Source organism: Homo sapiens, chromosome 19 (assembly GCF_000001405.40).
Source record: "Homo sapiens chromosome 19, GRCh38.p14 Primary Assembly".
Taxonomy (NCBI): Eukaryota; Metazoa; Chordata; class Mammalia; order Primates; family Hominidae; genus Homo; species Homo sapiens.
Genome location: NC_000019.10, coordinates 55,158,252 through 55,180,827, shown reverse-complemented (window position 1 = coordinate 55,180,827; position 22,576 = coordinate 55,158,252). Strand labels below are relative to the sequence as shown.

Below are 22,576 nucleotides of genomic sequence, written 5' to 3'. Positions count from 1 at the left end.
GCCATCACAAGTGCGCACCACCACGCTGGCTCATTTTTGTAGAGACGGGATTTTGCTATGTTGCCCAGGCTGGTCTCCAGCTCCTGGGCTCAAGCATTCCTCCTGCTTCGGCCTCCCAAAGTGCTGAGGTTACAGGTATGAGCCACCGCACTGGCCGCCTCCTGGGACTGGTGTTAGGGGAACTTAGAGGGCGATGTCTGGGGGCTGATAGCTGGGGACTTTGATGCTGAACCCTGCAGAGTCTGGGTCTCCAATGGGGGTCTGGGGTCTCCTAGGTCCTAGGACTGAGTATCCTGGCATGCCGTTCTTTGGGCTATACAGGGTGTGTGTCGTGTGTGTTGGGGCGGGAGGAGTGGAGTGGTCTGGACGGCCAACGACTGGACCAGAAGGCAGAAAATGCTAAAGCACCAGGATAAACATCTGTGGGCGTCATCGAGGTTCCCGGGTGGAGGCGGGAGGAGGGGCGGGGCAGGGCTTTCCGCCTACCCGAGACCAAATACGGGCACACACAATACACACCACACACGCGCGCACACGCACACGGGCACACACGCGCGCACGGGATCCTGCTCCGCTCCGCGGCTCCCCCGCCCCGGAGAGCTCCGCGATCAGCACCCGGGACAGCGCCACCGCCCACGTGCAGGGGGTGGGGTCCGGGCGGGGCTGGCGCCTCGGCGTCTCCCGGGAGTGTCCCGTCCAGCCGCCGAGCAGGTAGGAGCTGCTGGGACCCCCGCCCTCAGCCCATCCGCATCCGCATCCCTAGAGGAAAGGGGTGTGCGAGTGGGGGCTGGGGCACTGGGGAGACAACCAGAGGGAGGGCAGCAGCCTGAAGCGGAGAGACAGGGATCTGGGGACGCGAGACAGGTATGGAGAAGACAAAGAGCCGAGGGCGGGGAGTGGGGCGCAGGCGGAGGGGAGAGGGAGAGACCCTGGAGACAGAGGCCAGGCGATAGGGAAGAGAGACAGGCGGGTTGGGGAGGCAGACACAGGGAAGACGCCTATGTGGGGTCAAGAGGCAGCGTGGAGACCGAGGCGGTCACGAGAGCAGCACGGATGCGTGGAGAGACCAACAGGCCAAGAAGGATGAGGGGGCTCAGCACAGGCACCGGGCAGCCCCCGACCCGCCCTCCAGCAAAATTGGGGAGAGGGAAGAGGGAACCTGCGTCTCAGCTCCCAGGACCAGGTGCGGAGGGAGCAGTCGGCTGTGGGCGCTCGGACCACAGGCTGCCCGCTCCCCACCTCGCGGGACCTCAGGATCCCAGTCGGGCTATTGGGGGGTTCCCAGGCACCGGTGGGCCCCGGAGCGAGCCTGCCCCGCCGGGACTCCGCGTCTGTGCGTCAGCCCCGCCCGTTGTCCTGGCAACAACCCGTTGCCCGGGCAACCAGCTTTGCTCTCACCCCGCTTGAGAGGAGCCCGGCTGTTGCTCTGGGCAACGCGGTCTGCTGGTTCCCACGTCTGCCTTCGCCCGCTTCCGGTTCAGACCCTGCGGAGGGGCGAGGACGAGGCAGAAGTCAGCGGGATGCCTGTGGGGCCGTGGAGGAAGAGGGTATCCCTTTAGGATGGAACTAGGTCCTGGACACCCCCTCTCAAGTGCGGGGAGGCTGATACTACAACTCCCAGCATGACTCGCGGTGGCTGTCCGGTTTCTGCGCGGCTGTTCGCGCAAAGGCCTCATGGGAGTTGGAGTTCTTTGTTGTGCGTGGGGCTCAAAGGACGTCTGGGGTGGGAATGGGGGACTAGGGTGCTTGAGTGTCTCTGCAGAAAAGACTCCAGGACCCCGCCACCATGTTCCCGGAGCCCCCAACCCCGGGGCCTCCATCGCCCGACACGCCTCCCGACTCCAGTCGCATCAGCCACGGCCCAGGTGAGCAAGACCCGGGGGTGGGGGGCCGAGCAGAGAGAAAGCCTGGCCAGGATTCCGAGGGGCGGGATTCGGACGGGTGTACTCGGGCAGGCGGGCTGGAAAATCCGGCTGGGATCCCGGGTCGTCATCCTGGACTGGAATGCGAACGAAATGGGGTAAAAGGAAGGAACAGATTTGCAAAAAAAAAAAAAAAAAAAAAAAAAAAAAAATCGAAACCGGATCAAGGGGTGTTGCATGGAATGGGATCTTAGAATTGGAAGGTCCACCTAGCTCTTCTTTTACAGATAAGGAAACAGGCCCGATGAGGAGCAGGGCTTCTTGTAAAAGCATCAGGAGTTGAGCAGAAATGGGGGGCGGGGTCGGGTAAGGAAAGGCAGAACTAACAAGCAAGCAAATCCAGATGGTGTCAGCCTGGGTTGGGGCATCGAATCTCTCTATAGGCCACATTAGGTGGAAGAAAAACACAGGAAGAAATGCAATGAAAATGGCTGGAGGGAAAAGGAGGCCAGCATTCCAGCTTCCACGTGTAATCAGGACTGAATCAGCCTGCGTGCTGCCCAGGCCTCAATGTGTGTTGTCTCCACCCCTCTGCAGTGCCCCCCTGGGCCCTGGCCACCATCGTGCTGGTCTCAGGCCTCCTCATCTTCAGCTGCTGTTTCTGTCTCTACCGGAAGAGCTGTCGGAGGCGGACAGGCAAGAAGAGCCAGGCCCAAGCCCAGGTCCACCTTCAGGAAGTGAAGGGGCTGGGCCAGAGTTACATAGACAAGGTGTGGCCCAGCCCAGCCCCTCCACCTGGCCCCTTCCCGCACCCTGCTCCTCTCAATGGCCCAGCTGGTCCCAGTCCCTGCTCCCTTCTGTCCTATAGGAACCCACCTTACTGGCTCATCCTCCCTGTGTGTCTAGCCCTCAACTGGACTCTGGGGACCCAGAGATGGAACAGAACTAGTTGCTATTCCCAAGAACTTCCCAGTCTGGTGGGAGAGTCAGGCACTGACACAGACACTCACCACACAGGGTAATATGTGCCATACTACAGGGTCTCATAGGAGCACAGAAAAGGCATCCCACTGTATAGAAACCTACAGAAACATATAAATATTTGGCTCTGGGCCGGGTGCGGTGGCTCACGCCTGTAATCCTAGCACTTGGGAGGCTGAGGTGGACAGATTGCCTGAGGTCATGAATTCAAGACTAGCCTGGGCAACATGATGAAACCCTGTCTCTACTAAAAATACAAAAGCCAGCCATGGTGGTGTGGTATAATCCCAGCTACTCGAGAGGCTGAGGCACTGAAACCGGGAGGTGGAGGCTGCAGTGAGCTGTGATCGCGCCACTGCACTCCAGCCTGGGTGACAGAGCGAGACTCTGTCTCCAATAAATAGATAAATAAATAAATGGCTCTGAAAGCTGAAAACCAGCTTTGTGCCAGAATACTTTAAAATATGCTGATTTTTTTCAGAAAATGGGACATATTTACAGTAGGAAAAAGTTTAAAACAGAGGGTCAGACAGAGGAGGCTTCGTGGTGGAGGTGACTTCTGCACTGAGACCTGAGGGACAGAGTTAACTGAGACCAGAGAGAAGGACATTCTAGTCCAAGTTGGAGCATGTGTTGAGGCCCCATATCCAGATTCAGGCCCCATATCCAGATTCTGAGGCTTATTTGGGGAACAAAGAGTCATTTCTCACAATAGCTGCACTCTGGAGTGAAGTGTCTGGAGAACTCAGCAGTATCCATGTCATGAAGGTGATGAAGGCTACAAATATGTTTTGAGCATGAGAGGGACAGGGTCAGATGGTGTTAGGATGACTCCTCTGGAACCCTGTGTAGGACAGATCTGCGGCGAGGGATCCAGGGACGAGGCCAGTGCAGCAGCAGCCTGGAGAGGATAAAAGACATTTGCATTGGATGAGGCCGTTGGAATGGAAAGTGGTCACTGCAGGGTCTGAAAATTAAGTCTCTCAGTGCAGAGTGCAGTGGTTGCCTGGGAGCCAGACAGCCCTAGGTTTCCAACCAAGAAGGACCATTTCCTGGTTGTGTGACCTTGGAGAACTCACTGTCCCTCTCTGAGCCTCAAGTCTGTGGTCACTAACTTGGTATTTCCCCTCCTTCCTTCTCAATAAGGAGCTGTTCAATTAGCATCCGTAAAGGATGCTATTTAGGGTCCTGGTGTCCAGCCCCATCCCTGTCCCTTAAACCAGTGATGTTCAAAGACCGTCTGCAGCAGAATCACACTGGGTACTTGTTGAAATGCAAATTCTGGCACTAGCACCTGACCTATCAAGTCAGAATCCCTGAAGAGGTGACCTCAGACATTTTGCCACAGGATTCAGGGGAATTCAGGTTCACATTGAATTTTAAGAATTGCTGGCCTAGGTTAAGGAGACACCTTCTGCTTTTTCATTCAACTTTAGAATGGCAAGTACACAGTAAATATGCCATTTCTCCTCCATGTTTTGCTGTGCTAAGATCACAAGTAAACATGGCAGTTTGGACTAGCACCCCAGTACATCCATTAGCATGTGAAATAAAACCTGCATTATTCCTGTGGGCAATGGGACACTATCAGCACTTGTTTTAATCTAAGCATGACAAGCACATGTCTAGTTCCTGCCCATAGCAGACACCACTAATCAAACCTTCACAAACATACTGCATCTGTGTTACCACGTCTATTTCCTGCCTGTGGCAGACAGCACTAGTCAAATACTGAATCTGCTTAGCCTGTGAGAGCTCAGGTATAGCCCAAGGGACCTGTGAGCCTCCCTTGGCTTCTGAGCCTGATGGATACTGCTATCAGGGGAAGACTTCACCCACCCTTACCCCTGGCTCCTTAAGGTGCAGCCAGAAGTAGAGGAGCTGGAGCCAGCACCATCCGGGCCAGGGCAGCAGGTGGCAGACAAGCATGAGCTAGGACGACTGCAGTACTCCCTGGATTATGACTTCCAGAGTGGCCAGGTGGGTGTGGAGGAAGGGGAAGCTTTGGAGGGAGGATCCCGGGGGTTCCAACCCCTTCTGAAAGGAGCCATGGAAGGGAGGCTAAGACTAGTGTTCCCCACCTCCCCCACTGTGCCTGGGCCCTGCAGCTGCTGGTGGGCATTCTGCAAGCAATGGGATTGGCAGCCTTGGATCTTGGTGGCTCCTCGGACCCCTATGTGCGGGTCTACCTGCTGCCGGACAAACGGAGGCGGTACGAGACCAAGGTGCATCGGCAGACGCTGAACCCTCACTTTGGGGAGACCTTCGCCTTCAAGGTGAGCTCCTGCCTTCAGGCCCCGTGTTCCATAGCCTGTGCCCAGTCCCTGGAACACTAGGGACCGACCCCTTCCGCTTTTCCTGGAGGCGGCCACAGCTCAGGTGGCAGCTACCAGCTCTGGGGCTATTCCACTGGACCCTGGGCACTACTGACTCCTGGGCTGTAGCCTGGTCCTTGGGCGGTACGATTTGGGTTCCACTGACCCGTGATTTTTTTCCGCATGGATCCCTGGACTTTCCCATTTGAGTTCCCCCAACTGTTCGCTTCGACCCTCGCTGCCTCACTCCATGCCTTCCTTCTGGTTGTGCTGTGCCTCACCCTATCTCTGACTTCCTGCTCTCTACTGCGGATTCTCTGTGCACTCCAGGTCCCCTACGTGGAGCTGGGGGGCAGGGTGCTGGTCATGGCGGTGTACGACTTCGACCGCTTCTCTCGCAATGACGCCATCGGGGAGGTGCGGGTCCCTATGAGCTCCGTGGACCTGGGGCGGCCAGTGCAGGCCTGGCGGGAGCTGCAGGCGGCTCCGCGGGAGGAGGTGAGCATGCGCGGTCGCGCCCCGAGCCACGCCCCCAGGCCCAGTCCCGCCCACAACATCCTGAGCCAATCAGATCATAGGCTTTCCAGACCCTCAGGGCGGCGTGGATTGTACCCCTGAGGAGGCATGGATGTGGAGCCGGGGCTCTGGTGATGGGCCCCTCTCCTTTCAGCAGGAGAAGCTTGGGGACATCTGCTTCTCCCTCCGCTATGTCCCCACGGCCGGGAAGCTCACCGTCATCGTCCTGGAGGCTAAAAACCTGAAGAAGATGGACGTAGGAGGACTGTCAGGTGTGTGGGAAGCAAGGGAGTGGGGTGTGTGGGGATGGCGTGGGGTGGGTTCTCGTTCTGACAGTTTCTGAGCCTCGAGGGTTTCTTCGGGGACAGGGAGGACCTGGCTGCTGTGGAAGGCATGGATTTTGGCATAGAGCTAGGGAGACCCGAAGGGTGTAGGCAGTGTTTCTATGTTGGTCCAACAACCCAGCAGTGGGGAGCTATAAGACTCCTCCTTCCTCTCCCCAGATCCATACGTCAAGGTCCACCTGCTGCAGGGCGGCAAAAAGGTGCGGAAGAAGAAAACCACCATCAAGAAGAACACTCTGAACCCCTATTACAACGAAGCTTTCAGCTTCGAGGTGCCCTGTGACCAAGTCCAGGTGAGCTCAAACCTGCCCTTCTCCAAGAGCCCAGACCTTTAGTAATCGCCATTGCTAGGCGGAGGGAGACTTTTTAGCATCTCCCTAGAAACCAGGTGAGGGGGTCTGAGGTTATGCTCTCAGTCTGTTTCCTCCTATGAGGACCAGGAAGCCTCTTCCACTCCAGGAAGAGACTCCTTAAAATTGGGTGTGGGTGTCCTATCTGCTCTAAGCGGGACCGGGATGTCCCACCCCTAAGCAGTACCAGATGCTCCACCCTAAGCAGGATCAGTATGCCCCGCCCCACCAAGCGGAACCAGGATGCTCCGCCCCCAAGCAGGACCAGGATGCCCCGCCCCCAAGCAGGACCAGGATGCCCCGCCCCCAAGCGGGACCAGGATGCCCCACTCCTAAGCGGGACCAGATTCCCCACCCTAAGCAGGACCAGGATGCCCCGCCCTCCTCAGGAACGTGGTTCTAAGAAAAAGAGACCTCCCCTCACTTCTTTAGGGACGGCGCCTACCCTAGCCCGGCCCCTGTTAAAGTTCTGCAGCTTTGCGGCTCTTAGGAGGCTGCTCCCCCAGGAGGCGCCGAACACACCCGCTCCGCAACCGAGTCCTGAGGGTTCATTTCCTTAGAAACCTGGCTGCGCAGGAAGAAAGGCGCCAGAGCCTCCTCCTCGCCGCAGGCTCCGTCCCTCTCGTCTCCCACCCCCTCCCCCGTCCCGAGCTCCGGGGCCCCGAGCCCTCGGGTGGCAGCGAGAGGTACCCTCAGCCGTGAAAACGGACACCGCCCCTTCCGGGGCCTCCTCCCCTCACGCTCCTCTCTCCTCTTCCTCCCGCGCCCACCCCAGAAGGTGCAGGTGGAGCTGACCGTGCTGGACTACGACAAGCTGGGCAAGAACGAGGCCATCGGGAGGGTGGCCGTGGGGGCGGCCGCCGGCGGGGCTGGCCTGCGGCACTGGGCGGACATGCTGGCCAACCCGCGGCGGCCCATTGCCCAGTGGCACTCGCTGCGGCCCCCGGACCGAGTGAGGCTGCTGCCTGCGCCCTGACTCCCACCCCAAGCCCCCGGCCAAGCCTGGACTCTAGCCCCTGACCCCAGACTCCCGAGACCGGCCAAAGCCAAGCCAGCCCCACCCTTAAGCTTCCTCTGACGGTTACCCTCCCCCCACCTTCCACCCCAACCATCTGAACCATTCCTGTCTTCTCACCCCCAACGATGCCAATCACGACAACTTTCCAGCACACTCCCCCGACCCTCGCGGACACACCCAGATGCCCCAGGGACCCCGGGAAGGGAAGGCAGCCTGGTTTCTCCTGCCCCCGGGTCCTGCCCCCTGCTTTGACAATCAGCCATCCTCGTCTGCTCTCCTCTCTCTTCCAACACAGCCCATCCCTGCACTGCTCCTGGGGCCAAATAAATATTCAGCAGCTCCGGTGGCCTGGGCCCATGCTCCTTGATGGGGGTGGGCAAGGGCTGGGACCCAAGAGGAAACCTCGTTTCCAGGAATGGGCGCTCGCAGGGCGGTGTGAGTGCTGTTCGTCCTGAAAGCCTCTGAGAGACTGGCCTGACCCCATGGACTCCCTCACACTCTCACCCGTTCATTCCTCACTCACCACTCTGAGCCTGGGTTTCCTCCTCTGGAGAATGTTGGGATAATAATAATTCCTGCCACACGCTGGCTGTGAGGAGTCCGCGAGAACTCCCTTGCTTGTCCATGAATTTATCCACTCGCTTGCTCACCCATGACTCACATCGATTTTCATACCCATTTCTGCATCCCTCCCTCCCTCTCTTTTTTTTCTTCCTTCCATTCCATATTCCCTGAGGTCTTCTGTTGAGTGCTGGGGCCCCAGAATATCCAAACACAGACCTGACCCCCCAAGCGACTTACTGCCATCAAAACAAAGGAGAGGCGCGGAGCCAGGGAATACAATCTCCAGAGCCTGCGAGAGAGGTTGGAGTTCAGCAAGGAAAGCCAATGATTTCAACTTCACCTCTTTCTTTTTTCTTTTCTTTTTTCCTTTTTGTTTTCTTTCTGTCTTTCCTTTTCTTTCTTTTTCTCTTGTTTTTTTTTTGTTTGTTTGTTTTTTTGTTTTTGTTTTTGTTTTTTTGAGATGAAGTCTCACTTTGTCGCCCAGGCTGGAGTGCAGTGGCACGATTTCGGCTCACTGCAAGCTCCTCCTCCCGGGTTCACGCCATTCTCCTGCCTCAGCCTCCCGAGCAGCTGGGACTACAGGCGCCCGCCACCACACCCGGCTAATTTTTTTGTATTTTTAGTAGAGACGGCATTTCACCGTGTTAGCCAGGATGATCTCGATCTCCTGACCTCGTGATCCGCCCGCCTCGGCCTCCCAATGTGCTAGGATTACAGGCGTGAGCCACCGCGCCCGGCCCTTCTTCTTTTCTTTTCTTTTCTATTTCTTTTCTTCTCTTCTTCTTTTTTTTAATTTTGAGACGGAGTTTCGCTGTTGTTGCCCAGAATGGAGGGCAATGGTGCAATCTCGGCTCACCGCAACCCCTGCCTCCCGGGTTCAAGCGATTCTTCTGCCTCAGCCTCTTCTTTCTTCTTTTTTTGACAGGGTTTCTCTGTGTACCCTGGCTGGAGTGCGGTGGGGCAATCATAGCTCACTGCAGCCTCAACCTCCTGGGCTCAGGGGATCCTCCTGCCTCAGACTCCTGAGTAGCTGGGACCACAGGCACATGCAACCATGCCTAGCTAATTTTTTCTTTTCTTTTCTTTTCTTTTTTAGAGATGGGGTCTTGCTATGTTGCACAGGCTGGTTTCAAACTCCTGCAATCCTCCTGTGTGAGTAGCTGGGACTGTAGACATGAGCCGCCGCATCTGACCTCATTGTTCTTTCAACGAATGCTGCCTCCTACTCTGTTTCTAGCAAAGATGATAGTTCCATTGGCTTCTACCTTATCTCATCCCATACAGAATTTTGGGTGGTGAACAAAGACCTATAAGATTTGGCCAGAGAACTCTCTGAGCAGCAGATTAAGTGGAGAATGAGGCAAAAATTACCCCCACGTACCAAAAAAGGAGGCAGCAAACAAACTTACTTGCTCCTAAGCTTCCTGGTAGCCAATCGGGAAAGTGAAAATAGAACAGCTACACAGATTATAATATCCATGAGATTTTTAATTTTTCTCCAAAGGAATTCAGTAACTTTTCATGTGTGTGAGTGTGTGTGTGTGTGTGTGTGTGTGTGTGTGTGTGTGTGTGGCTGTAGAGCATGTCTTTATGAAGACAGCCCTTTATGTTACTACTATTACTGCCAATAATAATCCTCACAGCAAACTCATGAAATAAACATGATCATTATTCCCAGTTGACAAATGAGTCCAAACTGTGCTTTAGAAAATTTGGGGCTGGGCGTAGTGGCTCACGCCTGTAATCCCAGCACTTTGGGAGGCTGAGGTGGGCGGATCACCTATGGTCAGGAATTCAAGACCAGCTGGGCCAACATGCTGAAACCCTGTCTCTACTAAAAATACAAAAATTAACTGGGTGTCGTGGCAAGCACCTGTAATCCCAGCTACTAGGGAGGCTGAGGCAGGAGACTCGCTTGAACCCAGGAGGTGGAGGTTGCAGTGAGTCGAGATCGCGCCATTGCACTCCAGCCTGGACAACAAGAGCAAAACTCCATCTAAAAAAAGAGAGAGAGAGAGAGAGAGAGAATTCCTGTGAAATGCTCAGAATCACACAGCCAGAGAGCCTGTCTCTAAATCCTGGGATTGATTTAGATGATGGCAATGGGGTCCTTGGGTCTCTGTCTCAACAAGAAAGCAGAGCGATAGAAGAATAAAACCATTACAAATGGCCGTCCACACTGGGACCAAAACGTAAAAAGGCTGACATAACTTAGGGAGGGTGGTCAGGGGCAGCCTTGCTGAGGAGGTGCGGTCTGGGCCATGACTTGAATGACAAGAAGGAACGAAGCTTGCAAAGGTTAGGGAGAACAACAGTGGAATATTATTTGGTCATAAAAACAGAAGAAAGCATTGATTCATGCTTCAGCATAGATGAGTCCTGAAAATATTATGCCAAGTGAAGGAAGCCGGATACAGAAGGCTGCATAGTGCAGTATTCCATCCAAAAGAAATCTCCTGCACTGACAAATACATAGAGACAGAAAGTAGATTCGTGGTTGCCAGGGACAGAGGAGAGAGAAATGGGGAGATAAATGGGGTACGTGTTTTCTTTTGGAGTGATGAGAAAGTTCTGGAATTAGACAGTGGTGATGGTTGCACAGCATTGCAAGTGTACTAAATGTCATTCCCAATCAACTTAATAGTGTGTGTGTTTTACACCAATTTAAAAAGAAAACAAGGCCAAGCACGATGGCTCATGCCTTAATCCTAGCACTTTGGGAGGCAGGAGGATTGCTTGGGGCCCAGGGTTAGACACCAGCCTGGATAACCTCTCTATTTTTAAAATTTGTAAAGTTAGCTAGGTATGCTGGCACGTGGCTATAGTTCTAGCTACTTGGGGAGCAGAGGTGGGAGGATCGATTGAGCCCAGGAGTTTCAGGCTGGAGTACTCCAGCCTAGGCAACAGAGCAAGTCCCTGCCTTAAATAAATAAATAAATAAATACAGCCGGGCGCAGTGGCTCACGCCTGTAATCTCAGAATTTTGGGAGGCCAAGGCCGGCGGATCACTTGAGGTCGGGAGTTTGAGACCAGCCTGACCAACACGGAGAAACCCTGTCTCTACTAAAAATACAAAATTAGCTGGGCGTGATGGCACATGCCTGTAGTCCCAGCTACTCAGGAGGCTGAGGCAGGAGAATGGCTTGAACCCGGCAGGTGGACGTTGCAGTGAGCCGAGATAGCGCCATTGCACTCCAACCTGGGCAACAAGAGTGAAACTCCATCTCAAATAAGTAAATAAATAACAGCCTGGGCAACTAGTGAGACCCTTTCTCTACATAAATAAATAAATAAATATCCGGGCATGGCGGCACTTGCCTGTGGTCCCAGCTACTCAGGGGACTGAGGTGGGAGGACTGCTTGAGCCTGAGAGGTTGAGGCTGCAGTGAGCTATGATCACACCACTGAACTCAAGTCTGGATAACAGAGCAAGACTTTGTCTCAAAAATAAATATATAGAAAACAAAGATGAGGGGGAAGATAATTTAAGGCAAAAGAATCCCAAGTTGCAAAGGCCCTGGGGTTCAAACGGCTTGGTGTGTTCTCCAAGGAGCCAGGAGGCTGATGTGGCTTCAGGGGTGGATGACTGCAGATTGCATAGGGCATAGGGAGCCAAGCTAAGGAGCGGGGAATGTGTCCAGGTGCAGCGGGAAGACTTTGGAGGATTTGAAGAGGTGGGAGACATTATTTGATTTATGTTTAAGATCACTCTGGGCCAGGTGCAGTGGCTCACACCGGTAATTCCAGCACTTTGGGAGGCTGAGGCCGGCGGAACTCTTGAAGTCAGGAGTTCGAGACCAGCCTGGCTAACATGGTGAAACCCCGTCTCTACTAAAAATAAAAAAGAATCGCTGGAGCTGGGCACGGTGGCTCACGCCTGTAATCCTAGCGCTTTGGGAGGCCAAGGCAGGTGGATTGCCTGAGCTCAGGAATTCGAGACCAGCCTGGGCAACACGGTGAAACCTCGTCTCTACTAAAATACAAAAAATTAGCTGGGCGTGGCAGCGTGCGCCTGTAATCCCAGCTACTTGGGAGGCTGAGGCAGGAGAATTGCTAGAACCCGGGAAGCGGAGGTTGCAGTGAGCCAAGATCGTGCCACTGCACTCCAGCCTGGGCGACAGAGCAAGACTCCGTCTCTAAAAAAAAAATAATAAATAAATAAATCGCCTGGCTCGGTGGTTCACACCTGTAATCCCAACACTTTGAGAGACCAAGGCGGGCAGATCACCTGAGGTCGTGAGTTGGAGACCAGCCTGACCAACACGGAGAAACCCTGTCTCTACAAAAAATACAAAATTAGCCGGGCGTCCTGGCGCCTGCCTGTAATCCCAGCTACTCGGGAGGCTGAGGCAGAAGAATGGCTTGAACCCGGGAGGCGGAGGTTGCGGTGAGCCGAGATCGCGCCATTGCACTCCAGCCTGGGCAACAAGAGTGAAACTCTCTCTCTCTCTCTCTCTCTCTCTCTCTCTCTATATATATATATATATATATGTATATATATGTATATTTGTATTTTATTTTGTATATATATACAAAATATTTGTATTTTATTTTGTGTATATATAAATATATATACATATATTTGTATTTTATTTTGTGTGTGTATATATATATATATACACAAAATAAAATACAAATACAAAAATTAGCTGGTGTGGTGGCAAATGCCTGTAGTCCCAGCTACCTGGGAGGCTGGGACAGGAGAATCGCTTGAACCCGGGAGGCGGAGGTTTCAGTGAGCCGAGATCGCGCCACTGCACTCCAGCCTGGGTGTCACAGCAAGACTCCATCTCAAAAAAAAAAAATGTCACTCTGGTTCCTTTGCTGAGAATTTGTTGGGAGAGTGGGAGAAATAGGGAGGAAAGGCATTAATTCTCCAGAGAGAAACCCAGGATCTGGGGCTCTTGCAGGCTTAGAGCTGGCCTGGAAGGGGCTGGTTAGCCAGCCTGATTCTGCAGGAATGTCTGAGGTCTCAACCTTCGTTTCCCCAGTAGGTATTGTCTTCCCAGTGCCCAGATCTGCCCTCAGGAGGCAGATCCGCTGCACCTCTGCCCGCTGCACGCTACATTCCCATTTCACAGAGCAGCAGACTGAGGCTCAGAAAGGGTGACTGGTCTAAGCTCATGTGTCTGGGCAAGGAGAGGAGGCAGAGAGCCAAGTCCCCTTGGGCGCTGAGCCCAGTGCTGGGTGCTGGGGTGATCTAGAGATGTGCCTCATTCAGACTTTGGTTTTTCTTTTTTTTTTTTTTGAGACAGAGTCTTGCTCTGTCGCCCAGGCTGGAGTTCAGAGGCGCGATCTCAGTTCACTGCAACCTCTGCCTCCCAGGTTCAACAGACTCTCCTGCCTCAGCCTCCGGAGTAGCTGGGATTACAGGTGCGTGCCACCACGCCCGGTTAATTTTTGTATTTTTTAAGGTCGAGGCGCGGTTTCACCATGTTGGCCAGACTGGTCTCCAACTTCTGACCTCAAGTTATCTGCCCACCTTGACCTCCCAAAGTGTTGGGATCACAGGCGTGGCCACAGCGCCCGGCCGACTTACCCTTATTTTAATGCAGTTGATTTAACTGTACGATTACAGAATTTACCTGTAATTTTTTTGTTCATGTCAGAAGAGTAATGTGCCGATGTCGTAACAAGGTTTGAGGGAGGCACATCTCACGCATGCGCGTGAACACCCAATCATCCCGCTTAGAAACTACAAAAGGATCTAGCTGTAAGTTTAAATTATGGCTTCGTGTAACAATAACCAGCTCACAAATCCCTGAATTTTTAATGACCTGCACATCAGTGTCCCACCTGTGGGCTGTTCTGTGTGGTAGAGCCCACGTTGTGCTGGGGCGGGGAGCGGGCTCAGAAGCCTGCCATCTAAAGTCTAGACACTTCACTTTATTTGAATTGATGAAAATTCCGTTACGTATGAGCAAAGGCATATGAAGAAAACAAAAAAACAAAAAACAAGAAATAAGATTAAGCTCCCTTCACTCTCAATTTTAATCAGCCCAGGCCTCCCCCATTCCAGAAATTTGGACCGACCCTGACTCCGCCCCAACCTGTTCTAGCACCGCCCCTTCCCCCGCCGGCGCCGTCGTCATGACAACCGCGTCCACACGCCCTCTTCTCCTAGGTGTGGGGGAAGGCTGGCCCTCAGTGCTCCCATTGGCCAAAAGTTTGTAGAGGGCGGGCCTCGCTCACTCTCATTGGTCAGTTGCTCGCTGTGGTCCCATCCCACATGCTTCCATTGCTTGATTCCTCGAAAAGGGCGGGGACTCTGGGCAGCGGTTGTGGAGTGCCGCGGGTCCACAGTGCTGCACTGAGCAGAGAGGAAGGGGCGTCCCGGGATATTTGGAGGATAAAGGTGTGGGCAAGGTATCATGTGGAGGCAAAGGGGCGAGAAGTGAGGGGCGGTGAGAGGGGAGCGGGGCGGGCAATGTGTGCGATTCCCAGAATGTCTTTTCCGCAGGGTGATGACCACACCTGCCGGCTCCGGCAGCGGCTTCGGCTCCGTGTCCTGGTGGGGCCTGTCCCCGGCGCTGGACCTGCAGGCTGAAAGTGAGTCCCAGCACGCAAGGTCTGATACACCGTCTGCCTTCCCAGCCTGAGCAGACGGCCTTTTAGAGCTCGTAGTCCCAGCGTCGGTGGCAAGGGGGGCGCTAACGTTCTCCAACGCTCCAGCGGCAGAGGGCGCGCTCCCAGGGGCAGCCCCGAGGTCCTGTCTGCGGACTGCGAATCCCAGAATACTCAGAGGAAACACCTCCCCTTAGAACCTAGGCCACGGGCGGAACGCCTACTGGGATTTGTAGTCCATTTTTTATAGGGGATGCTACGGTGGACGCTCTGCCAACCACCATGGTGCCCCAGCCAGCTGTCATCTTGCCAGGTCCTCCTGTGGACCCAGACTCCCAGGCCGATACAGTGCACAGCAACCCCGAGCTAGATGTGCTGCTTCTGGGCTCTGTGGATGGACGGCACCTGCTGCGGACCCTGTCCCGAGCGAAGTTCTGGCCTCGCAGGAGGTTCAACGTGAGCTGGGATGAAGATGAGAGCCCAGATTCCCGAGTCCTTGAGGGAGGAAGGGATTGAAATTCTAAAACCTCAGGTCCAGGAATGAAGGGGCTGGAGACTCCTAGATCTGAGGGAGGCAGAAGCTGGGAGCGAACCGATGCGTCTTGGGGGAAGGAAGGGGCTGGGGTTTGGAACTCCTGGGTTCTATAGTGGGGAAGAGCTCGAGGATGAGGTCTTCTGAGTAATGGAAGGGAAGAGAGCTCTGGGGACACAGACTTCTGTGTTTGAAGGAAGAGGCTGGTGTACAGAACTCGGGTGTGTGGAAGGAGAGAGCTGAGGGCCTGCTCTCCTGGGTCTCCTAGGACCCAGGCAAACAGGTCTCAGAATTATTCTGCCCTGTCCATCCTTCTAGTTCTTTGTGCTGGAGAATAATCTGGAAGCTGTGGCCCGACACATGCTGATCTTCAGCCTAGCCCTGGAGGAACCGGAGAAGATGGGGCTGCAAGGTCTGTTGCTAGGACCCAGGCATTCTGACCGCTGGTCTCCTCCCCCTCCCTAGAGGGATTCTGGCATTTCAATGGTACAATTAAAAAGTTTGGTTATTTTCCTGGGAGGCGGAGGTTACAGTGAGCCGAGATCGCGCCATTGCACTCCAGCCTAGGCAACAAGAGCGAAACTCCGGCCGGGCGCGGTGGCTCACGCCTGTTAATCCCAGCACTTTGGGAGGCCGAGGCAGGAGAATGGCGTGAACCCGGCAGGCGGAGCTTGCAGTGAGCTGAGATCGCGCCACTGCACTCCAGCCAGGGTGACAGAGCGAGACTCCGTCTCAAAAAAAAAAAAAAAAAAAAAAAAAAGAGAGCGAAACTCCATCTAAAAACCAAAAATGTTTGGTATTTTCCAGTGTGGTACCTCTGATGAAAAAAAAAATCCAATATATTTATTGATGATGGTCCCCTCTGATGTAATTTGCCATCTTAGAGCCTCAGCTCCTCCTACCTGTAAAATGGGGCTAAATATAATACATCTTAGAGCCACTTAGAAAATTCCAGGAGAGGCTGGGTGCAGTGGTTCACACCTGTAATCCCAGCACTTTGGGAGGCTGAGGTGGGCAGATCACGAGGTCAGGAGATCGAGACCATCCTGCTCAACATGGTGAAACCCCGTCTCTACTAAACATACAACAATTAGCCGGGTGTGGTGGCAGGCGCCTGTAGTCCCAGCTACTCGGGAGGCTGAAGCAGGAGAATCACTTGAACCCGGGAGGCAGAGGTTGCAGTGAGCCGAGATCACACCACTGCACTCCAGCCTGGGCGACAAAAGCAAAACCTCCATCTAAAAAAAAAAGAAAGAAAGAAAAAGAAAACAGGTTTGTTTGTTTATTTATTTATTTATTTGAGGCAGAGTCTTGTCCCGTTGCCCAGATTGGAGTGCAATGGCACGATCTTGGCTCTCCATAACCTCTGCCTCCTGGATTCAAGCAATTCTCCTGCCTCAGTCTCCCAAGTAGCTGGGATTACAGGCATGCACCACCATGCCCGGCTAAGGTTTTGTATTTTTAGTAGAGCCGGGGTTTCACCATGTTGGCCAGGATGGTCTCGAGATGCTGACCTCAGGTGATCCGCCCGCCTTGGCCTGCCAAAGTGCTAGGTTTACAGGCGGGTGCGATCACACCCGGCCCCAAGAAAAGAGGTTTAATTGACTCACAGTTCCACAGGCTGTACAGGGAGTATGGCTGGGAAGGCCTCAGGAAACTTACAATCATGACAGGAGGCGAAGGGGATGCAGGCATCTGTTCCACGGCAGGAAAAGGGGCAAGAGAGGCAGTGGGGAAGAGGCGCACACTTGCAAATAACCAGATTTTGTGGGAACTCACTATCACGAGAACAGCAAGGGAGAAATCTGCCCCTGTGACCCAATCACCTCCCACCAGGCCCCGCCTCCAATATTGGGGATTACAATTCAACATGAGATTTAAGCAGGGACACAGATCCAAACCATATCAGTCATTAATGACCCAGGGAATTCAGAGTACATTGCACAGTACAGATTGTTCAAAGTTCTTAAACAGTTAGAACTAAACTGATCTATTTTACTAAAGGCACATAGTTCTCTTCTATTAAGTTCTTAAACAACTAACATGAAACTATTTGTATGTCTATGTGTATATATATTATATGCAAAGGTATATACAGTCATCCCTCAGTAACACTGGGGACTGGTTCCAGGACCCCTGCAGATACCAAGATCCAAGGATGCTCAAGTCCCTTATAAAATTGTATAGTATTGCCAGGGGCGGTGGCTCACGCCTGTAATCCTAACACTTTGGGAGCCTGAGGTGGGAGGACTGCTTGAGACCACGAGTTTGAGACTGGCCTGGTCAACATAGTGAGACCCCGTCTCTACAAGAAATAAAATATTGGCCGGGCGCGGTGGCTCACGCCTGTAATCCCAGCACTTTGGGAGACCGAGGCAGGCAGATCACGAGGTCAGGAGATCGAGACCATCCTGGCTAACACGGTGAAACCCCGTCTCTACTAAAAATACAAAAAAAAAAAAAAAAAAATTAGCCGCCGGGCGCGATGGCTCACGCCTGTAATCCCAGCACTTTGGGAGGCTGAGGCGGGTGGATCACGAGGTCAGGAGATCGAGACCATCCTGGCTAACACGTGAAACCCCGTCTCTACTAAAAATACAAAAAATTAGCCGGGTGTGGTGGCGGGCGCTTGTAGTCCCAGCTACTCCGGAGGCTGAGGCAGAAGAATGGCGTGAACCCGGGAGGCGGAGCTTGCAGTGAGCCGGGATCGCGCCACTGCACTACAGTCTAGGCGACAGAGCGAGACTCCGTCTCAAAAAAAAAAAAAAAAAAAAAAAAAAAAAAGAAAAAGAAAAGAAAAAGAAATAAAACATTAGCTGGGTGTGGTAGCTAATGCCTAGCCCCAGCTAGCTGGGAAGCTGGAGGAGGAGGGTCCCTTAAGCTCAGGTGGTCGAGGTAACAGTGAACTATGATGGCACAACTGCATTCAGCCTGGGCAACAGAGTGAGACACTGTCTCAAAACAAAAAAGATGTACTTACAAATAGCCTGTACACATGGTCCCATACACCGCAAATCATCTCTAGATTACCTATAATATGTAATACAATGTAAATGCTTACACCATATTTTACAATTTGTATTATTTTTTACTGTTGTGTTGTTATCTTTTCCCCCAAATATTCTCTGTCTGCGGTGAGTGTGGAATCTGCAACTCTAATTCCCTCTTCTAGGTGGTTATTTATTTATTTATTTTAGAGGCGGAGTCTCACTCTGTTGCCCAGGCTGGAGTGCAATGGCATGATCTCGGCCCATTGCAACCTCCGCCTCCGGGTTCAAGCGATTCTCCTGCCTCAGCCTCCCGAGTAACTGGGATTACAGGCGCCCGCCACCATGTCCGGCCCTGTTCTTCATGTAGTTTTTGGGATGCGTGGGGAGTTTGCGGGGGTTCATTGTTTTCATTAGATGACTATGACATAATAACATATTAAGGGTGTAATTTCTGGGCTCCCTCCTCCACACATTCCCGCAATTATCTCCCTCTCTCCGTAGAGCGAAGCGAGACCTTCCTGGAAGTGTGGGGGAACGCGCTGCTGCGCCCGCCAGTGGCCGCCTTCGTGCGTGCCCAGGCCGACCTGCTGGCGCACCTGGTCCCCGAGCCCGACCGCCTGGAGGAACAGCTGCCCTGGCTCAGCCTCCGCGCCCTCAAGGTGCCGCCGCCCGGCCTCCATCTGGGATCGGGTGGCCGCGGGAATAATGGAAGCGCACAGTCCAAAGGACGTGCGTTGATGGAGCAGGCGGCGGGCTAGGGGGTTCGAATCCCAGTTCCCCGACTCCCACTGTGGGATTTGGCCTGGGGGCAGGAGGTGGCTTCTGCTTTCGGAGCCTCAGTTTTTCCATCCGAGAAACGGGGGAATCGTTCCCCTGTTCTGGGATGGAAGAGAGGGTCAATTAGAATCCGCTCTCCCTGCATCCCTCTCTGCCTTCCTCTGTCCCACCGCGTGCCTGGCCCCGCAGTTCCGCGAGCGGGATGCCCTGGAGGCCGTATTCCGCTTCTGGGCTGGCGGCGAGAAAGGGCCCCAGGCGTTCCCCATGAGCCGCCTCTGGGACTCGCGCCTGCGCCACTACCTGGGCTCCCGCTACGACGCCCGGCGCGGTGTCAGCGACTGGGACCTGCGCATGAAGCTGCATGACCGCGGGGTGAGGGGCCCAGGAGAGGGGCTGGGGGCCTGGACCCCTGGGTCTGAGGGAGGAGGGGCTGGGGGCCTCCTGAGTCTGAGGGAGGAGGGTTTGGGGGCCTGAACTCCTGGGTCTGAGGGAGGAGGGCCTGGGGACCTGGACTCCTGGGTCTGAGGGAGGCTGGTGTAGGGGTCTCTCCACGCTCGGTTCACTGAGGGCTCCCTTCTTCCCGCCCCCCACCCCAGGCTCAAGTCATTCACCCCCAGGAGTTCCGACGCTGGCGGGACACAGGCGTCGCCTTTGAACTCAGGGACTCCAGCGCCTATCATGTGCCCAACCGGACCCTGGCGTCCGGTCGCCTCCTGAGCTACGTGCGTGTCCACTGCCTGTCCTGGCCCACTGCTGCTGCTCGGAGTCCTAGGAGTCAGGGGCCCCAACATCGACCTCACCTGCCTCCTCTCTCCCTCCTTTTCCAGCGTGGGGAGCGCGTGGCAGCGCGCGGGTACTGGGGGGACATCGCCACGGGGCCCTTCGTGGCCTTCGGCATCGAAGCGGACGACGAGAGCCTCCTGCGGACGAGCAACGGCCAGCCAGTCAAGGTGCGCGGCGAGGCTGGGACTGGGGGTAGAGGTGGGGCTGGGGGTCGGTGGGTGCGCAAGGCCCCGCCCCCACAGCAGGCCCCGCCCCCAGCTCCAGACCCCGCCCGTCGCTTGGTGGGAACGACTCCATTCAGAGAACAGGCCCCATCCCCGCGGGATAGGTCCCGCCCCACTTCACATCCTCCAAGCAGCTGCGGGAGTTCTAGTCCTGGACCGAGGACTCCCAGCGTTCTAAGCCCCGCCCCGCCATCCTGGCCCCGACGTCTGGCCACGCCCCTTCTACTGTTAGACGGCCGGGGAGATCACTCAACACAACGTGACGGAGCTGCTCCGCGACGTGGCCGCCTGGGGGCGCGCGAGAGCCACCGGGGGGGACCTGGAGGAGCAGCAGCACGCGGAGGGAAGCCCGGAGCCAGGGACTCCAGGTAAGCCAGGGACAACAACAGGTAAGCCAGGGACTCCAGCCTCCAGGTGTTTCACACTGGAGTGTGGACTGACATGATTTGGAATGCCTGGGCAAGTGACGGCTTCTTGATATTCTGTCTCTTTTTCTCTCTTTCTCTCCCTTTCCTAAATTCTGAGAGCATGCTTAGAATTCTGAATTCCACTAGCAGAATTCTAATCTTATCTGCAGAGGGCTAAGCTATCCAAGAATATTCTCACAGGGTGCTGGGTCCCAGCTCCCCCTTGGACAGCCTCCCACACCCTGGATCCTGGCTGGGCCTCCTTCCAGCCATCCTCCAACCTGGCCCTCCCTGCGTGTCTGTCTGACAGGGCATGTCACATGTGGCCCTGGCCACCCACCCTCTTTCCCTCTCTAGAGTCTCAGTTGCCTGATCTGTACAGTGAGTCTCTGCCTGCCAGGCTGACCTTCCCAGAACTTTCCAGGAGCCTACCTTAGAGGATTTTTTAAAAAGCTGCAAGAGGACAAAAAGTGTTATCTCCAAGTCCTGTGTGCCTGCCCAGCTCTGCCCAGCTCTGTGTATCTCTCTGGTTTTCCGCCCTTATGGCTCCGCCTGTCAGAGGTGACCCCTCTATCCCCTTCCCCCAGCAGCCCCGACCCCGGAATCTTTCACCGTCCACTTCCTGCCGCTCAATTCTGCTCAGACTCTCCACCACAAGAGCTGCTACAACGGCCGATTCCAGCTCCTCTATGTGGCCTGTGGGTAAGCGGGGAGGCAGCTGTGCTCACAAAGACCCAGGATCAGGCCCCCAGCCCCTCCTCCCTCAGACCCAGGAGTCCAGGCCCCCAGCCCCTCCTTGCTTAGACCCAGGGGTCCAGGCCCCCAGCCCCTCCTCCCTCAGACCCAGGAGTCCAGACCTCCTGCTCCCTTCTTTCCCCAGGACCCAGACTCCAGTTTTGCCACCCCTCCTCCCTCATTGTCTGGGATCCCAGAGCCCCATCCTCCCTCCGGATTTGGAGCTGAATCTCAGCCTGTCCTCCGTCCTCTCTGCAGTATGGTCCATCTTCTCATCCCTGAGCTTGGGGCCTGTGTGGCACCCGGAGGGAACTTGATTGTGGAATTAGCCCGGTGAGTCAGTGGGGTGGAGGGTGGGGAACATCCTGGCTGGGGATCAAAATCTGGGTCCCTGACAGGGCGCTTCCCATCTGCAGGTACCTGGTGGACGTGCGGCAGGAGCAGCTGCAGGGATTCAACACCCGGGTCAGGGAGCTAGCTCAGGCAGCTGGATTTGCTCCACAGACCGGGGCCAGGCCTTCAGAGACCTTCGCACGTTTCTGCAAGTCCCAGGAATCAGCTCTGGGCAACACTGTCCCAGCTGTGGAACCCGGAACTCCGCCCCTTGACATCCTGGCCCAGCCTCTTGAAGCCAGCAACCCAGCCCTTGAGGGCCTGACCCAGCCTCTGCAGGGTGGGACCCCACACTGTGAGCCCTGCCAGCTGCCCTCTGAGTCTCCAGGTTCACTCTCAGAGGTTCTGGCTCAGCCTCAGGGGGCCTTGGCTCCGCCCAACTGTGAGTCAGACTCCAAAACTGGAGTCTGACCCAACCCCTAGACACCCCTTATCTCCAACTTCCAAAGTCAGGTTGTAGGATGAGAACCCGCTGATACCATTCTAAGTCCGCTGCTAGAGTCCTCAATTTTATTCTAATCATTCCCACTCAGTACCCGCCACCCCCACCCCGGGAGTGTTGGTAGACTTTCAAATTCCATTTCTGAGATTCTATGGTCTATTCCTAGAATTCTAGATTGTTCTCTCAGAATTCCAAATTCCACTTCTGAGGCTCTAAGCCCAGCCTAGGATCTGACACTGAGTCTCAGGCCCTTGACTTTGGCCCCCTTGTTCCCAGGCACCCTGTGGCTGACTAGGGGCTGGGGTGTCTCCTCACCAGGGCCTGGTCAGCACCCAGATGGTTCAAGTAAAGCAAGTTGTGTCCACCCTTCTGTGTGTCCAAGCGTCTTTCCTGTCCTATGTCCGTCTCCAGGGCTGGGAGAGAAAGGCCCAGGAGTGCTGGACAGAGGAAGCCAGAAACCAGATTCCTGGGTTTCCAAGTGGACGAGGGATGGATTTCCCAGTGCTATTGACTGAGAGCTAGCCCCGAGCACAGCTGCATCCTCAAATTAATCAACAACATTTATTGAGTGGCCTGGACTCCTGGGTCTGAGGGGAGAGGGATTGGGGTCCTGGACTCCTCGGTCTGAGGGGAGAGGGATTGGGGTCCTGGACTCCTGGTCTGAGGGAGGAGGAGCTGAGGGTGCAGACTCTTGAGTCTGAGAGAGGAAGTGTGCTGGGGGCCTGCCTGGACTCCCTTGTCTGAGGGAGGGGCTGGGGGCCTGGACCCCTGGGTCTGAG

The 22,576-nt window shown here is 54.9% G+C and overlaps 2 protein-coding genes, 1 long non-coding RNA gene and 1 other non-coding gene across 18 annotated transcripts, besides 7 other annotated features; 2 read left to right on the top strand and 2 right to left on the bottom strand.

Moving 5' to 3' along the window:
• Positions 524-713: a silencer, noted in NCBI's record as "silent region_11017". NCBI's record gives its function as "represses an Ori minimal core promoter by ATAC-STARR-seq in GM12878 lymphoblastoid cells {active_cell/tissue: GM12878}" and the evidence as "EXISTENCE:reporter gene assay evidence [ECO:0000049][PMID:35858748]".
• Positions 524-1,006: a biological region, named in NCBI's record as "ReSE screen-validated silencer GRCh37_chr19:55691190-55691602".
• Positions 539-9,632, top strand: SYT5 (synaptotagmin 5). Of its 7 annotated transcripts, none has more exons than XM_047439257.1 (9): positions 539-711; positions 1,763-1,865; positions 2,460-2,632; positions 4,704-4,823; positions 4,952-5,119; positions 5,489-5,656; positions 5,832-5,946; positions 6,178-6,311; positions 7,144-9,632. In XM_047439257.1, exons 2-9 carry the CDS (start codon positions 1,787-1,789, stop codon positions 7,342-7,344), a joined length of 1,158 nt encoding a protein of 385 aa, XP_047295213.1. In that variant the 5' UTR covers positions 539-711; positions 1,763-1,786; the 3' UTR covers positions 7,345-9,632. The 7 variants fall into 7 exon arrangements, with proteins under 7 accessions (XP_047295213.1, XP_016882664.1, NP_003171.2 ...); XM_017027175.2 differs by having other exon boundaries at positions 5,829-5,946; NM_003180.3 differs by having other exon boundaries at positions 1,742-1,865; positions 5,829-5,946.
• Positions 594-1,006: a silencer, noted in NCBI's record as "fragment chr19:55691190-55691602 (GRCh37/hg19 assembly coordinates)". NCBI's record gives its function as "represses an EF-1alpha promoter that drives an FKBP-Casp9 reporter gene in an ReSE screen in HepG2 liver carcinoma cells and K562 erythroleukemia cells {active_cell/tissue: HepG2 | K562}" and the evidence as "EXISTENCE:reporter gene assay evidence [ECO:0000049][PMID:32094911]".
• Positions 994-1,073: an enhancer, noted in NCBI's record as "active region_15078". NCBI's record gives its function as "activates an Ori minimal core promoter by ATAC-STARR-seq in GM12878 lymphoblastoid cells {active_cell/tissue: GM12878}" and the evidence as "EXISTENCE:reporter gene assay evidence [ECO:0000049][PMID:35858748]".
• On the bottom strand, positions 13,554-13,657 carry LOC124904795 (small nucleolar RNA U13). The gene has a single exon (XR_007067378.1). It is a non-coding gene; the product is annotated as a small nucleolar RNA U13 (small nucleolar RNA).
• Positions 13,924-21,519, bottom strand: DNAAF3-AS1 (DNAAF3 antisense RNA 1). Of its 6 annotated transcripts, XR_007067343.1 has the most exons (5): positions 21,383-21,519; positions 19,614-19,782; positions 18,027-18,076; positions 16,657-16,741; positions 16,320-16,584 (listed from the first exon to the last, which is right to left on the bottom strand). It is a non-coding gene; the product is annotated as a DNAAF3 antisense RNA 1 (long non-coding RNA). The 6 variants fall into 6 exon arrangements; XR_007067344.1 differs by lacking the exons at positions 16,320-16,584; positions 16,657-16,741 and adding an exon at positions 13,924-15,009; XR_007067345.1 differs by lacking the exons at positions 16,320-16,584; positions 16,657-16,741; positions 18,027-18,076 and adding exons at positions 13,924-15,009; positions 16,028-16,284.
• On the top strand, positions 14,106-22,167 carry DNAAF3 (dynein axonemal assembly factor 3). Of its 4 annotated transcripts, none has more exons than NM_178837.4 (12): positions 14,106-14,316; positions 14,411-14,499; positions 14,828-14,970; positions 15,365-15,458; positions 18,538-18,695; positions 19,003-19,185; positions 19,410-19,535; positions 19,641-19,763; positions 20,053-20,188; positions 20,815-20,929; positions 21,221-21,295; positions 21,379-22,167. In NM_178837.4, the coding sequence occupies exons 1-12, from the start codon at positions 14,180-14,182 to the stop codon at positions 21,764-21,766; spliced, it is 1,767 nt and encodes a 588-aa protein (NP_849159.2). In that variant the 5' UTR covers positions 14,106-14,179; the 3' UTR covers positions 21,767-22,167. The 4 variants fall into 4 exon arrangements, with proteins under 4 accessions (NP_849159.2, NP_001243643.1, NP_001243644.1 ...); NM_001256714.1 differs by having other exon boundaries at positions 14,765-14,970; positions 20,818-20,929; NM_001256715.2 differs by having other exon boundaries at positions 14,215-14,305; positions 21,379-22,163.
• Positions 14,604-14,835: a silencer, noted in NCBI's record as "fragment chr19:55677361-55677592 (GRCh37/hg19 assembly coordinates)". NCBI's record gives its function as "represses an EF-1alpha promoter that drives an FKBP-Casp9 reporter gene in an ReSE screen in K562 erythroleukemia cells {active_cell/tissue: K562}" and the evidence as "EXISTENCE:reporter gene assay evidence [ECO:0000049][PMID:32094911]".
• Positions 19,150-20,076: an enhancer, noted in NCBI's record as "H3K27ac-H3K4me1 hESC enhancer chr19:55672120-55673046 (GRCh37/hg19 assembly coordinates)". NCBI's record gives its function as "activates a minimal SCP1, AML or CMV promoter by ChIP-STARR-seq in naive H9 embryonic stem cells {active_cell/tissue: H9 hESC(naive)}" and the evidence as "EXISTENCE:reporter gene assay evidence [ECO:0000049][PMID:30033119]".
• Positions 20,092-20,201: a silencer, noted in NCBI's record as "silent region_11016". NCBI's record gives its function as "represses an Ori minimal core promoter by ATAC-STARR-seq in GM12878 lymphoblastoid cells {active_cell/tissue: GM12878}" and the evidence as "EXISTENCE:reporter gene assay evidence [ECO:0000049][PMID:35858748]".